Raw genomic sequence first — 16,309 nt, 5'->3', positions numbered from 1 at the left:
GAACCCTGTTTGCAGTTGGATAAATCAAGTCCCTTTTAGCCACTTTTGTTCACACTAACGGAAAAGACAGTGGAGTCCTCCCAATTAACACAATTTTGCAAATCGGCACAAGCAACAGGCCTTTTATGAAATTAGTTGTTAAATAGCTCTTCCCTCCACCCCCAAGCAAATACATTTTTTTGAGGCTAGAAAAGGCAATTTATCAGTCTTTGGGTTTCTGATACCTAACAATATCATACTGGAACAAGTCCAGCATTAGACAAAAATCTACCATCACCTATGTGCTAGAAACTTTACAAATGCCTCATACAATCTGCTCAATTCTTGTAAGGCAGATGGCTTATCAATAAAGTATACTAAGGGAATGCATGCAGCAAAGGCTTTGTGAATGAAGATGGTATGTATTTGTTCCATTTAGAGGGAAATTTGGTTGAGCAAACTCTCAAAGTATTTGGCTATATTTTTTTTCCCCTTTAGCTATACAGAGCCATGAGAAGAACCTAGGAAATAAATTGCTGGTTACAAATCCGTAAGTTTTAAAAAACTTACGGCCAGGAGTGGTGGCTCATGCTTATAATCCCAGCACTTTGGGAGGCCAAGGTGAGTGGATCACTTCACGCCAGGAGTTCAAGACTAGCGTGGCCAAAATGACGAAACCCCGCCTCTACTAAAAATACAAAAACTAGCTGGGCGTGGTGGCGTGCAACTGTAGTCTCAGCTATTCGGAGGCTGAGGCAGGAGAATCACTTGAACCCAGGAGGCGGAGGCTGCAGTAAGCTGAGATTGTGCCATTGCATTCCAGCCTAGGCGACAGGGCAAGACTCTGTCTCAAAAAAAAAAAAAAAAAAAAAACTTATCTGCAGATGTATTTTGATTTCTAGTTCTATAAATTAGATAATATTTCTACTGTATTTCTAATTCTATAAATTTACACAATTTTATAAATATTAATATCTATTTAAAAATCAGATTGTAAATCCCACGCTCCTATTCTTCACCTAAATGAAGGGGAGAGGATAAGGATGAGTTAGCACTAGGGGACTGACTGACAGACAAAAGAACACATGGACACACATACCAGGACAGAAAAAAAGTCTACCTGTGTTTATTTTCAAATACTTCTTTCATATCGTTTAATATATATTGTCTTTCAATAGCAAGGATTTTATATGTATGTTTTTAAATTGACAGAGCAGGGTCTGTGAACACCCTAAAATTATAGGCAAAAATCTATCTGTGACCATTTTTTTCAACTTTGTTTTATGATTAAATAGAGGAAAAAAGTAGTAGTCAGAGCATTAAGATTCTGGTGCTTGCATCGTATACACAGTATTCTCAGCTATAGTGCACATGTATTGCTTGGAAAATCAGAATCAATTTATTTGTACAGATTTGCTTGGCTTTTTTGTTTAATCGGCTCAAAAGAAACATTTGGCTGGGGAAGCTCCAGACACTGATTTCTCAATACTATCTTCTATGTTATAAAAGATTCTTTTGGAGTCTTAACTGACAAAAAGCCATTGGAGGGAATGCTTCACGATCTTAAAAAATAAAAAAAAGTTCAATGCAAGAAAATATCCAGTAGAGTTATATGTATCTTTACCTCTAATAGTTTCATGCATTTTAATACGTTTTTCGTAATCAAGGAATTAAACATATGCACCATTTGACCTTTTATGTTTTTTTCCCCCATGCAGTAAATTAACTTTCTCTTCATGAAGGAAAATTATTTTTAAAGACTTACTTAAAACTGGAAAAAAAGTGAAAGTGTACTCAAATCAGTACATTTCATTAATAAGACTGAATTACATTAATTGAATGCTTTTAAAACGACCTTCAATCCTCATAACACTTAAAAGGTGCTAGAGTGATTAATAATGCAGGCCCTAGAGTCAACCTGAAGGGACTCTACCAATTAAGATAATTGTGTGAACTTCAGCTCATTACTTGGTGCTTCAATTTCCTTATTTAAACTGAGGGTAATAATAATGCCCACCTCATTGGGGTTGTTATGAGGATAATACGTGAGAATACTAATACAAATGCTTAGAATAAATTACTATTATAATGACTATTCTATAAATAAAGAAACTAAGGCTTAGAAAAGTTAAGCAACTTGTCTATCATATAAAGCAGGTAATAGTAGAGCAGGGATTAAAAAAACCAAACCAGGTACTACATCTCACTCCAAAGCCTGTATTTCCACTATGTTGTACTGTCTCCTACCATGTCTTGTCATAATAAATCCACAAAAATTTAAACTCACATGAAAGATATATCTCAGAAGAGTTAGTTTACACAGTGAGAACAGCTTATTTAGATTTCATATTTTAACACAGGTTTTTTGTGGAATGTTAAAAATTATAAAGCAATAAGTTTAATGCTAAATATTCAAACTATATAAATGTAAAAAACATAAGTGGCTTCTATTCTATTCCCTGATTCTACTCCCCTATGTGTGTTCTCATCTACTGTAATAAATACTTCTTCTAATTAGCCACATGAGCTAATGTGTCCCTTATGTGAAAAATGGGGATAATGATGCCATTTGAAGTTTCTAAGATTAAAAATATGAATACAAAGCACTTAGCAGAGTGCCCAACACGTAGGCACCCAACAAATGTTACATGTCATTACAAGAAAGTCGGAAAAAACTCTCCAATTTCCTCATCTTTTCTTTTTAAATTTTTTTTTGAGGCAGGGTCTTGTTCTGTCACCCAGGCTGAAGTGCAGAGTTCACAGCAACCTCAAACTCATGGGTTCAAGTGATCCTCCTGCCTCAGCCCCTTACCCCCACCCCCCCAGTAGCTGGGACTATAGGCTCACGCCGCCACACCCAGCTAATATTTTAAACTTTTTGTACAGACAGCATCTCCCTATGTTGCCCAGGCTGGTCTTGAATTCCCACCAGGGCATCCCAAAGTGCTGGGATTACAGGCATCAGCCACGACACTTGGCTTTCCTCATCTTTTCAATTGATGACTAACAATAGTAATACTTGTCTTACTTTATAGCATTATTGTAAAAATTAAATTGATAAGAACCTACCCTATAAACAGTTAAGTTAAAGATATGAATTATACCATTATTAGATGCCCCTTCTCCTTTAAGAGGCTACTGCAATACAAACATGACACCAACATGAAAAGACACAAACAACTGTACCTATCTTTGATTAATATTAAATTAAAACCAGGCATAATGGCTCACACCTGTAATCCCAGCACTTTGGGAGGCCAAGGTGGGTGGATCACCTGAGGTCAGGAATTCAAGATCAGCCTGGCCAAAGTGGCAAAACCCCATCTCTACTAAAAATACAAAAATTAGCCGGGTGTGGTGGTGCGTGCCTATAATCCCAGCTATTGGGGAGGCTGAGGGAGGAGAATCGCTTGAACCCAGGAGGTGGAGGTTGCAGTGAGCCAAGATCTCGTCGCTGCACTCCAGCCTGGGCGACAGAGTGAGACTGCATCTCAAAAATAAAAAAATAAGTATTAATTAATTAATTAATTAAAAGTACCATGACATGGGTCAGAACAAAAAAACTATCAAATAACCAAAGCATAAATTTTAAAAGTAAAATACTACTCACAACTTTACTAAAATTAAACAATTTTAGTTCTTAAAAATAAAGTACAGTAAGTAGTTTTTAAGGGCCATGTTTCTCTCCACCAATTGCCACCCCAGTCACTTGAAACAATAAACTGTTGTTAGTTTCAAGCCACAATTAGCTCAGGCTGAAGTCTAAAGCACTTGGAGATATTGATCAAGTAATTATTTTAGGGGAGGGATGAGATGGTAGAGATGTAGTATTTCTAGGAAATGAGTTAAAAAGAAAAGCAAAAATGTCAGCACCTCTAAGATGGCCATAAAGTTGTATTGATGGCTGATAAATGTAATGTTGAGTGAAAAACATGTACCTCTAGAATGATGATGGCTGGGTTCACAGATTTGCATCATAGGTACCAAGTATTTAAATGTCCACTAGTATTTCAACACTCTGATGATGCATACCTTTAAAATATTTAAGTATATGTAACTGTGATATTGCAAAGGATGGAAAAAAACCAACCTCAAGTAGAAAAAAAAATTGTGAGCAGTCTTGAAGGTATTCTGAAAGCTAAACTAGCACTTACCAAATTGTGAGTATAAATATGTGGCCTAGAAATCTAAGTATCAAATTTTAAATTAACAATCTACTGATTGTGACTGTTAACAAACTACCAAATTATTCAGATTTTTCTCCTTAAGTTGATGTTAAGGATAAAGTCTCAGGGACCATATCATGTCTTATTAAAACTGTAGGCGAGCTTTGCTACATAAACAGTATTTGCCATTTTTAAACATTTACTGTGTCTCCCTTTTTAAAGTAAATGAAATTGCAAGCAGAATCCAATTGAACAAAATTGTGGGTGGGAGGGGGTGGATATGAAGTCAAATTTTAAAATAGTGGATTTTGATTGAAATTGTTTTTAAAACAGACTTACTCAGTAGTGTATGTGTTAACATAAACATAGGGTTTGGTGCCCTAACTTTACTTCTGTATTACTTTACTAGTTTAAAGCCAAAAAAAAAAAATCATAAAATCCATACAATTAATACAAAATCTGAGACTTTAAGTCAGAGAACATATTAGTCTTGGAAAAAAGAGCAAGAATACTGCACTAGCTTTTAAAGGTTATGAGTAATAATCACTGTGAATAATAGGAAACACTTCCAGCTGATTTAAGAACCGATAAACAAATCTCAATATTATACTGCTTTTTTGAAAATGACATAAGCAGGATTGGTTTACCACCACCCTTGTTTCAGTTTCTTTTTATAATATAATGAAATAAACCAGAAAACCCCCAAATTAAAAGCATTTTTGATAATTTTTTTTTTTACTAGTTCTTCCACCTTCAAGTAAATAAAACTAACATTTAAAAAAAGCCCTCATATAAGAGGGAAAAAAATTTTTCCTAAATCTGGGGACTAAAATTTTTTTGTGTTGAAAGTGGAGAGAGCTGGGCATGGTGGCTCATCCCTGTAATTCCCTACAGGGTCTCGCTCTGTTGTCCAGGCTGGAGTACAGTGGCACAATTTTAGCTCATTGCAACCTCGGCCTTCCGGGGTCAAGCCATCCTCCTACCTCAGTCTCCTGAGTAGCTGGGATCACAGGTGCATGCCACACCACACCCAGGTAATTTTTGTATTTTTTGTAGAGACAGAGTTTCAAGATATTGTCCAGGCTGGTCTCTAACTCCTGAACTCATGGGATCTGCCTGCCTTGGCCTCCCAAACTGCTGGAATTATAGGCATGAGCCACCGTACCTGGCCAATCCCAGCACTTTGGAAGGCTGAGGTGGTAGGACTGCTTGAGCCTGGGAGTTTGAGACCAGTCTGGGCAATATGGGGAGACCCTGTCTCTATAAAACATTAAAAAATTAGCTGAATGTGGTGGCATGAGCCTACAGTCGCAGCTACTGGGGGGCATGGGGAGGAGGTTGAGGCAGAAGGATCACTTGAACCCATGAGTTTGAGGCTGCAGTGAGCTCTGCACTCCAGCCTGGGTGAGAAAGGGAAACTCTGTCTTGGAAAAAAAAAGGGGGGCGGGAGCAGAAAATATTAGAATCAAATATTAAACCTCCTAGAGCAAGCTGTTTCACGATTCAAAAGTATATAAGAGAAGCAGAGAAAACAAAGAATATACAAATGCATTATTCCAAAGACAATGCACTCTCTCCATTAGAAAAAATTACCATATACAACTCCAGTAACAACATAATACAAATTTCAAAGCCACATTTGAAACTATCAGTAAAATGCAAAATATGTACTGTCTTCACTGAAAAGAAAAGAATGTCTTCTTGGCCAGGCATCGTGGCTCATGCCTGTAATTCCAACACGTTGGGAGGCCAGGGCAGGTGGGCTGCTTGAGCCCAGGAGTTTGAGAACAGCCTGGGCAATATGGCAAAACTTCATCTCTACAAAAAAAAAAAAAAAAAAAAAAAAAAAAAAAAAAAAAAAGAAGCGAGGTGCTTTTAGTCCCAGCTAGTTGTGAGGCTGAGATGCGAGGATCTCTTGAGCCAGGGAGGTCAAGGCTGCAGTGAGCCTGGGCAACAGACTGAGACTCTGTCTCAGAAAAAAAGGAAAAACAAACAAACAAAAAAGAATGTCCTCTCCCAGCTACTCTTAAAGTTGGCAATGATAGCCCTGAAGGGAAAACAAATGTGAAATTGTAAGTCTAAATTTTTAAAGAAAACTAAAATGTTCTCTCAATAAACAACTTTTACCATAAGATAGCAGCTCTCATACATAAGGCAATATTCTGAAAGATAAACACAATACAATTCAAAATAGGCTAAATTTGTTACTTTACACAAAAAGAAACTTCCTAGAATGTCTGCAAAACAAATACACTTTGCTCTTACTTGACTCCATTTTATAAACAAGTGTGCTTGCAAATCTGCCAAATTAACTCAATTTACCCTTACTACAATTTCAGACTTCAATAATCCATCTCATCAATTGTACCTTTCATCTATGTCTTAATAAATTTTAATGGTAGAGACAAGCTGCTCTATACTTTGATAACAGTCTTACTTTCTGTTATGAAACAAAACTGTACCCTTTGGCCAATGTGATTTTTAGGTTTAACATAAATTTGGTTTCTTCATTTTCTTTTCTCATTTAGCAAAGAAGCTTGAAGAGGGAAGCCTTTCATCACTTAAATAAAATGAATATAATAAATTCTGGCTAGACAATTCCATTACAAAAGGTAGCTATGCAGTAGTCTCCAGCCTTGACACAGGAGACATTCATTTCACATTATTTTAGTAATGTATATAAAGTCAATTTTTCTAAAAAAGCAAATACTTTGACTTAAATGCCAGTGTTGAAAAAGAGTTAGAATTTTTGCTTTCAATGTATTCTCCTTAAAACAATGGAAATGGAGCTAATTCTCACATAAGTATATATAACTATCTTTTCATAAAGAAGCTCAGTTGAAGTTGATTAGCTTTCAGTTTCCATCCATTTGAGACAAAACATGTTATTTTCTCTATTGCATTAGGTAATAATTTTTACTGTAACTTGCTCAATCTGCACTTACTACATAAATACAATACAGCAGCTGGGTGCGGTGGCTCACACCTGTAATTCCCGCAATTTCGGGGGCCGAGGCAGGTGGATCACATGAGGCCAGGAGTTTGAGACCAATCTGGCCAACATGGCGAAACCCTGCCTCTGCTAAAAAAATACAAAAAAATTAGCTGGGTGTGGTGGTGCGTACCTGTAATGCCAGCTTCTTGGGAGGCTGAGGCAGGAGAAATCACTTGAAGCTGGGAGGTGGAGGTTGCAGTGACCAAGGTTGAGCCATTGCACTCTAGGCTGGGTGACAGTGCGAGACTCCATCTCACTCACACACACACACACACACACACCATACACTGTATTACAGTAACTAGTACATTCTTATATATGTCAGTTTATATCTATTGGAGTTTACCACAAGCATATGGCCACTGGGATTTTTTTTCAGAATTACTCTTTGCCATTAAACAGAAGATACTTTCCTTATACAAGATGAAACAATGTTTTAATACAGTATCATTAAATGTCAATAATGAAATATTTAACTTCAAGAACAACAAATTTAAAAATTATACCTTGCTGTTATTTTTTAATAAATTGAACTAGGCAGGGTGTGGTGGCTCATGCCTATAATCCCAGTGCTTTGGAAGGCCCCAGATAGAAGGATTGCTTGAGGTGGCTCATGCCTGTAATCCCAGTGCTATGGAAGGCCCTAGATGGAAGGATAGCTTGAGGCCAGGAGTTCAAGACCAGCCTTGGCAACACAGACTCGTTTCTACAAAAAATAAAAACAATTAGCTGGGCATGGTGGTGTGATGGCTACTCAGGAAGCTGAGGTGGGAGGACTGTTTGAGCCCAGGATTTCGAGGTTGCAGTGAGCTGTGATCGCACCACTGTACTTCATCATGGGTGACAGAGTGAGACCTGGTCTCTTAAAAAAAAAAAAAAAAAGAACGAAAGAAGAATCTATTGTAGGGGGAGGGGTGGTTACTGTAAAATTTTGTACTCGAGCAATTCAATTCTCCAAAGGTGGGTTGTTTCTTCCCCAAAGGTAGGTTGTTACTATAAAGAGAAAAAGGTGGTTCTTTAATAAAGAAATCTTCTTAAAAACAACTGAAGTGTCTCTTACAATGATTACAGGATTAAAAAAAAAAGCAAGTTGGGAATTATGAAAAGCCACTAGGGAAGTCATGGTGATTAAAAAGAAAGGTTTTGGAGACAGATCTAGGTTCAAATTCCTGGTCGTGCTATTCAGAGAAACTTGTGAGGTTGGGTAAGTTTCTTCACCCCTTTTAGCCTCAATTTCCTTATCTGCAAAATTAGTCACTGTGTTAAATAAGAAATAGCAAACAGAGGTATTATTAGCACTGAGCCTGGTATGGGCCCAATAAGGCAGCTATTACCATTACTGTGAAGACAAGCTGACCAGGGACCTCATTAATAACGTTGCAAAAGCTGCTACGGTCGTTTTCCTTTAAAACTCAGGCTGGGCACGGCGACTGACACCTGTAATCCCAGCACTTTGGGAGGCCGAACTGGGCGGATCGCTTGAGGCTGGGAGTTCGAGACCAGCCTGACCAACATGGCGAAACTCCGTCTCTACTAAAAAATATAAAAATTAGCCAGGTGTGGTGGTGCGCGGCTATAATCCCAGCTACTGGAGAGGCTGAGGCAGGAGAATCACTTGAACCTGGGAGGCGGAGGTTGCAGTGAGCCGGGATCACGCCACTGCATTCCAGCCTAGGCGACAGACCAGACTTTGTCTCAAAAAAAAAAAAAAAAAAAAGACAAAAATCCACTCTTTGCTTTTTTAGTAGGGTAACAACTATTGGTAACTTTCTCTTGTTCGATATTAGTGTAAAGGACTCCACAGAAATAAGAACAAAAAGGGTAGAGTTAAAAACCGAATTTTACAGGTAGCAATAACCTGGACTCAGGTAAAAGTGCGTGATGAAGAATTGATCAAAGGGCCTTCATCCTAGCTTTCAACTATTCTACCAATCCTCAGTAGACTTGATGGGGGTTAGAATGGTATTCCCTGGCATATGCTTTTAAAACAAAATCATTTCAGGCAAAAGAAAAGTCTAGCACCCAGGATAGTACACATACTAGGCAGGATTAATCTTAATAATTACTTGTTGAATCAAGAAGTTGTACATTTCAGATGAAAATTTTAATTTCCTAGGAAACACCGACTTACATTGAACAAAATTTTCATTTGCTATTATTCTGGACTCACCGAGAGCTCAAGATTCTAGTTTTTATCTTCACTTATTTCAAAAACCTTATGCGGTAGGAATTATCCCCAAAGTAATGAAAAAAAGGAATGAGCTTTAAAAGCGGTTGAGTAAACTGCCTAAAGTTAACAGTTTCTAAAGTAAAGAAGCAGCTGAGATTTGAACTTGCTTTTTAGGGCTCAAAAATCCAAGCTGTCTGAGCTTCACTAAAGCATGTACCACTACTTGTCTCCCTAAACTGTCTGATACACAGAACATTTATTAAATTTTAAGGATTTTTGTTTTTGTCTTCTATGTTGCCAGTCCTTCCATTTCACATTACCTCCTTTGCTGGGTAAGCTATATACCCTCAATACAACGAGAATGGTGTCAGAGTACAAGCCTTAAGAACAGAAAATTTCTTTTACTCCGTACGCCAGAGGTCTGGCGCCACCACCACAAGCGACAAACACAGGCTGGGGTCCAGAAACGCTGCCGACCGCGCCCAGATCTCAAGTTTTAGTCAAGGCCCACGTTCAGACTAGGAGAGGGGAGAAGAGAGGGTTCTCTTTCCCCACACCCTCGCCACGGTGGAAGCACAGAGGAGAAGGTTGGAGTCGCAGTAACAGTGCAAACAATAAACCCGAAAGCCCCTCTTAAGCCCGTTAAACGCACTTACTTGATTGAAGTAATTCCAGGACGCTAGGCCGGCACCGGCAACGGAAAAGGCTTCTCTGTCCTCCAGCCCAGGCGCTGGTGCTGACGACATCTGGACTGCGCCGCAGAGAGTGAAGGCCCAGCGCGAGGCCGCGAGCCCAGCGCCCAGAGCGCGCGCTCACGAAAGGAGCGGGGCATCCCAACGGCGCCACCTTTAAGCGTCACGGGTGGGGCTGCAGCTTCTGGACCTAGGACTTTGAACATGTCGCGCCTGAAGCGGATAGCGGGGCAGGATCTCCGCGCTGGTTTCAAAGCAGGTGGAAGAGACTGCGGTACCTCGGTACCCCAAGGGCTGTTGAAGGCAGCGAGGAAGAGCGGCCAGTTAAACCTGTCGGGTAGAAACCTCAGTGAAGGTAAGACCCAGAGGTACGACCCTATTGTGTCTCCTGTCAGAAAGCCTTTGGCCCAGGCAACCTCCCTTTTCTCTGGGCTGGCTTTGGCCCCCTTTCTCAGACTGCTAGCCAGAATTTCTGTGCTCTAATCTAATCCCTGTGCTCATTTCGACCGGTTTGGTTAGCCCAGTTCAGTTCCTTCCCAGGTTCCCGCAATCTCTGTTAAAGGGACCCTGCTAAAAATACGGTCTAAATTTAAACGGGGCGCTTTCTGGGATTCCCACATTCTGTGGGATAAGCAACATAATATGTGACGAAACCAGCTATCAAATCACGGGCAAATCTTTTGTTTCTTTGGCCCTTATTTTCCTCCTCTTATTGTAATCTTCAAGGGCAATTACCAAAGCTAAAATTATATGTTTTATCGGCCCCTTTGTGAACCTGCACTGTTCCCTGCCGAGACGCTCTTCTGTATGCAGCTGTGCAGAGTTCTACTTACAAGGAATAATGAGTATATTTTCTAAGTTGAAGATCAGGATAGATGCCACACAGAGTGTTTGAATGTGGGGACATCCTGAGAAACCTGTTAAAGACCAAGAAGCACAAATCTGGGTACCATGAATGAATGGCCAGATGCTCTTCTGATTGTCGTGTGTGTGTGTGTGTGTGTGTGTGTGTAAGAGAGAGAGGGAGGGGAATGGAGAGATGGAGAAATAGAGCATTTTTCCTGTAATGTTTTTCTTCATTTATATTTAGGTTTTAAGACTGATTAAAACCTTCCATTTTCCTTCTAATGATTGCTTTCTTATTGTGACATGTATAAAGTAGATTAGGCAAGCAAATGCTTCTGAATGAATGAAAAGACACAGAATCCTTACTCCACCTAAAAGAGTTTTTGATCAATGGGAACATACTCATTTTCAAACTACAGTTGTGCATATATATATATCTACTTGGTTTCCCCAAAACCTGAAACATTTTTCTCTAAACTTGCATACCTATCATGCTAACATTCTGTTCTCTTACCTGTTTAATTTTTTAACAGCATTTATCACTATCAGAATTTATATCATTTATGTTTTTTGTTTTCTCTGCCCTCCAACCAAAAGGTTAATATCATGAAGTCAGTGAGCTTTGTTTTGTGCTTTGTTGTATTTCTATCACTGAAAATAGTGCTTGGTACATAGTAGAGTCTTATTAAATTTTGCGGAAGCAATAAGTAAGTGAATGAGTATTCTCAAATCATAAGTGGTGTGCTAGAATGTACTTATTGACTAGACTCAGGTGGTTTCGTCTGTTAAACTTTAAGAGAGCACATGGATTCTGACTCTTAGGTCCGTGATGATATGGATTAGAACTGCTTAGGTTATTGTTATATAACCAGAACCTAACACTTTACCTGGTACATAAAATGATTTTAAATGAGTGAATAAACAGCATTTCATAGGAGGGAAAGATATAAATGGCAGAAACTCATGGTATTTGTAGCTTATATATAAAAAAGGAATCCCTGTTACTATAATATAGAAAGTCTTTCTCTGTCTGGCTGTATGTAGCCCTCAGTTTCATCACTTGTTAGTGAAACTTTGATAGGCAAACCACTATAATTCTGAACTGTTTGTAGTTCGTTACGGGGTCGTGCTTCTTATCTTCCTATCTTTGCTCACATAACATTGAGATGGTTAATCACTCTGTGCCCTAATTTCTCATTTATTATGCAGGAGTCATAACAGGACCTATTAAGGTCTAAATGAGATAAAATGAAATAAAGTGCCTGGTACATAAAAAGTACACAGTAAAAATTCACCATTGCTGTTATCATGGCAGCACCTTCTAGTTGGTTTCCTGGAGTTTTTACTTTACATCTCACTCTTGCTACTCCAGAGGCTGAGGCAGGAGGATCACTTGAGTCCAGGAGTTTAAGGCTGTAGTGCCTTATGATCACACCTGTGAATAGCCACTGCACTCTAGCTTGGACAATATTGTGAGACCCTGTCCATAAACAACAACAACAACTACCCTCACACTCTAAATCCTAGTGTCATTACCAAGAGTTATTTTTCCAAAACAGATCTTACATCACTCAAAACGTTTAATGACTTCCCATAGCCCAGAAGATACGGTATAGGTAAACTTTTTAGCACAGCATACAAAAGTCTTTCTAAACCTTTCCCTTAACTATTTACTTTGAGGCCTCTTTTCAGTATCCTATACTTTGATAATGATAGTAGCTCATGCCTGTAATCCCAGCACTCTGGCAAATTGAGAGGCAGGAGGATCGCTTTGAGGCCAGAAATTCAAGACCAGCCTGAGGCAACATAGTGAGACCCCATCTCTACAAAAAATACAAGAATTAGATGAGCATGGTGGCGTGCGCCTTTAGTCCTAGCTACTTGGAAGGCTGAGGTGGGAGGATTGCTTGAGCCTGAGTTGGAGGCTGCAGTGGGTGCTGTGATTGTGCCATTGCACTCCAGCTTGGGCAAGAGAGTGAGATCCTGTCTCTAAAATAATAATAATGACACTAACAAAAATTACCTTTCCCCCAAACAACCATACTTTAAAATTTTTTAACGAACTTTTTTAATGAAAGTTGAGCAGATGGTACATTATATTCTCATATACCCTCTGTCTCCAGCTTAGAGTTTCCTCTGTTATTAACATCTTGCATTAATGTAGTACATTTATTATAATTGATGAACCAATATTGATACATTATTATTAACTGGAGTTCATAGGTTTGTTAGGGCTCATTCTTACTGTTGTACAGGTCTATGAAATTGACAAATGCATGTCGTATATCCACCATTAGAGTATCATACAGCATAATTTCACTTCCCTAAAAATCCTGTGTGCTCTACCCATTCATTCCTTACCTATCTTCCCCTGAACTGTGGGCAACCAGTGATCTTTTTCCTGTTTCTATAGTTTTACCTTTCCCAGAATGTCTCTTAATTTGAATCATACCAGTGCATAACGTTTTCAAACTGATTTTTTAACTAATCAGTATGCATTTAAGGTTCATCCATGTATTTTTGATGACTTAATCTTTTTTTTTTATTGCTGAGTAATATTCAATTGTATGAATGTACCATTTTGTTCATTCACATGTTGAAGGACATCTTGGATACTTCCAGTTTTTGGCAGTTATGAATAAAGCAGCTGTAAACATTTATGTTCAGGTTTTTGTCTGGATATATGTTCAACTCATTTGGATAAGAGCCTAGGAGCATGATCACTGGATCATATAAGAGACTATGTTGAGCCCTGTAAGAAACTGTCAGACTACTAATGTGTACCATTTCATATTTCCACAAGTAATAAATGAAAGTTCTCTGCTCCACATTCTTATCAGCATTTGGTATGATCAGGTTTTTGGATTTTGGCCATTTTAGTGGGTGTATTTCGTTATTTTATTTTATTTTATTTTATTTTTGAGACGGAGTTTTGCTCTTGTTGCCCAGGCTGGAGTGCAATGGCGTGATCTCAGCTCACCGCAACCTCTGCCTCCCAGGTTCAAGCAATTCTCCCGTCTCAGCCTCCTGAGTAGCTGGGATTACAGGGATGTGCTGTCATGCCTGGCTAATTTTTTTTTGTATTTTTAGTAGAGACGGGGTTTCTCCATGTTGGTCAGGCTGGTCTTGAACTGCTGACCTCAGGTGATCCACCCACCTCGGCCTCCCAAAGTGTTGGGATTACAGGCGTGAGCCCCCACGCCCGGCCTGTATTGTGTTATCTTATAGTTTTAACTTAGTATTTCCTAATGACATATGATGTTGAGTGTCTTTTCATATGCTCATTTGCCATCTGTATATCTCTTTGGTGAGGTGTCTATTAAGAACTTTTGCACGTTTTTTCATTGGGCTCGTTTCCTTGTTGTTGATCATAGTTGTCTTTTTATGCCACTTGTTTCTGCTCAGCAACTGATTGTTCAATGAGTAAGTGACATATGTAAATAGGCTGGTGGCTTTTTGGTTGCGATTCTTAAATTTTGTGTCATATGAAGTCTAGATAAATGTGGCAGAGGTGTTTTTTGACCCAGTCAAAAGTAATTGCAGAAAGTGATTATTATTTTCTTTTCATATAAACTTACTAACTTGTCCCTTGTACTGATTCCTTGCATGTTGTATTTTTAGTATATGTTAATCTAAAAAAAGTGTTATTATCTTTTGTTTTTACCCCAAAATATTAGTACCTCAAATTATGATTTACATTCAAAATATATTTAGTTGTTTTTTGTTTTTTTGAGACAGGGTCTTGCTGTGTCACCCAGGCTGGAGTGCAGTGGCTCAGTCATGGCTCAGTGCAGCCTCAAACTCCTGGGCTCAAGCCATCTTCCCTCCTCAGCCTGTCAAGTAGCTAGAACTACAGGTGTGTGCCACCAAACCCAGCTATTTTATTTTTTGTAGAGACTGGATCTCACTGTATTGTCCAAGCTGGTCTCGAACCCCTGGCCTCAAGTGATCCTCCCACCTCAGTCTCCCAAAGTGCTTGGATTACAGGCATGAGCCACCATGCCCAGGCCAAAAGATACTTTAAAACATGGCTTCTTTCAGATTGCGCTTTCTCCCTTGCTCTCTCTCTTGCACGCTCTCTTTTTTTCTCTCTCTCTATACACATATATGAGACATTTTATGGGAAATGTATGAGATAAATATGAAACTATTTTGTATGCTATAGGGAGTTACACAGATACTTATTCAAATAGCATTTATTGTTTATCTACTATGTTTCTTCCAGATATAGTTCTAGAGGAAATAAAGATTAATGACACCTTCAAACAATTCATAGTCTCATAAGTGTTTAACATAAGCTTTATTATTAAGAATTGTACTTGTTAAACAAATAATAATTTAAATTTTCATGTTATACTTTAATTCTTTCTCTCTCTCTTCACATTTACATAGTCATATTTGTAAAGTAGATTCATTTCTGTTCCTTCTTTTTTTTTTAGAGGTAGGGTCTCATTCTGTTGACCGGGCTAGAGTACAGTGGCATGATAGTTTATTAGACCTTGAACCCCTGGGCTCCAGTGATCTCCTGCCTCAGCCTCCTGAATAGCTAGGACCACAGGCATGCACCACTGTGCCCGGCTAATGTTGAAATTTTTCGCAGAGATGGGGTCTTGCTATATTGCCCAGCTTGGTCTCAAACTCCCTCTGTCCACAATCCTCCTGCCTTGGCCTCCCGAAGTACTGGGATTATGGGTGTGAGCCACTGTACCTGACCCCATTCCTGATATTTCTACATTGGGAAAACAAAACTTAGTCTTTAATTTTTACATATATAATGAAAAACAGTTAAAATTCTGTTGATTCTTGCTCTTAGATGGTAGCCTCCTTAAATAGAAATTTTCTTAGTGGAAGCCGTACAAGGGCAGTGAGAGATTTTATTAACCTGATAGGATTGTTAACTAGACTATTAACCCAGTCCAGTACAGTGATAAAGAGGTTTACTCTACCTAAACTTATTTGGGTAGAGTAAGTCTTGAGGGTATTAACTTTTACCCATAACTGAAACCTGGTTACTCTTTGGGGTGTTTAGGTATACAGTTGACCCTTAAATAATTCAGGGGTTGTGGGGCTGACTCCCTTGTGCAGTCAAAAATCCATGTATAACTTTTGACTCCCCCAAAACTTAACTACTAATAGCTTACTGTTGACTAGAAGCCTTACTGATAACATAAACAGTCAATTAACATATATTTGTATATTATATGTATTATATACTACGTTCTTACAATAGTAAGCTAGAGAAAAGAAAATGTTATTAAGAAAATCATAAGGAAGAGAAAATATATTTACTATTCATCAAGTGGAGTGGATCATCATAAAGGTCTTCATTCTCATCTTCACATTGAGTAGGCTGAGGAGGAGGAGGAAAAGGAGGGGATGGTCTTGCTTTCTCACGGGTGGCAGAGGCAGCAGAAAATCCATATATAAGTGAACCTGTGCAATTCAAACCCATATTGTGCGA

The 16,309-nt window shown here is 38.7% G+C and overlaps 2 protein-coding genes across 19 annotated transcripts in view, besides 2 other annotated features; one reads left to right on the top strand and one right to left on the bottom strand.

Moving 5' to 3' along the window:
* The window catches only part of SRSF11 (serine and arginine rich splicing factor 11), a 47,357-nt gene extending 37,306 nt beyond the window's left edge, over positions 1-10,051 (bottom strand). For all 16 annotated transcript variants that reach the window (XM_047434514.1, XM_047434518.1, XM_047434523.1 and 13 more), the window contains exon 1: positions 9,967-10,051. The gene's annotated coding sequence lies outside the window, so the exon portion shown is untranslated. The remainder of the gene's footprint in view (positions 1-9,966) is intronic.
* Positions 9,945-10,254: an enhancer, noted in NCBI's record as "active region_1187". NCBI's record gives its function as "activates an Ori minimal core promoter by ATAC-STARR-seq in GM12878 lymphoblastoid cells {active_cell/tissue: GM12878}" and the evidence as "EXISTENCE:reporter gene assay evidence [ECO:0000049][PMID:35858748]".
* Positions 10,168-16,309, top strand: part of LRRC40 (leucine rich repeat containing 40) — a 60,775-nt gene continuing 54,633 nt past the window's right edge. For all 3 annotated transcript variants that reach the window (XM_011541763.2, NM_017768.5, XM_047424519.1), the window contains exon 1: positions 10,168-10,357. Coding sequence is in view for 2 of the 3 variants with exons in the window: in NM_017768.5 (NP_060238.3) it covers positions 10,207-10,357 (151 nt within the window). In the remaining variant the exon portion in view is untranslated. The remainder of the gene's footprint in view (positions 10,358-16,309) is intronic.
* Positions 10,515-10,574: an enhancer, noted in NCBI's record as "active region_1186". NCBI's record gives its function as "activates an Ori minimal core promoter by ATAC-STARR-seq in GM12878 lymphoblastoid cells {active_cell/tissue: GM12878}" and the evidence as "EXISTENCE:reporter gene assay evidence [ECO:0000049][PMID:35858748]".

Source organism: Homo sapiens, chromosome 1 (assembly GCF_000001405.40).
Source record: "Homo sapiens chromosome 1, GRCh38.p14 Primary Assembly".
Classification (NCBI taxonomy): domain Eukaryota; kingdom Metazoa; phylum Chordata; class Mammalia; order Primates; family Hominidae; genus Homo; species Homo sapiens.
Note: the sequence above shows the minus strand (reverse complement) of the source record. Positions and strands in the feature narration are given on the sequence as shown.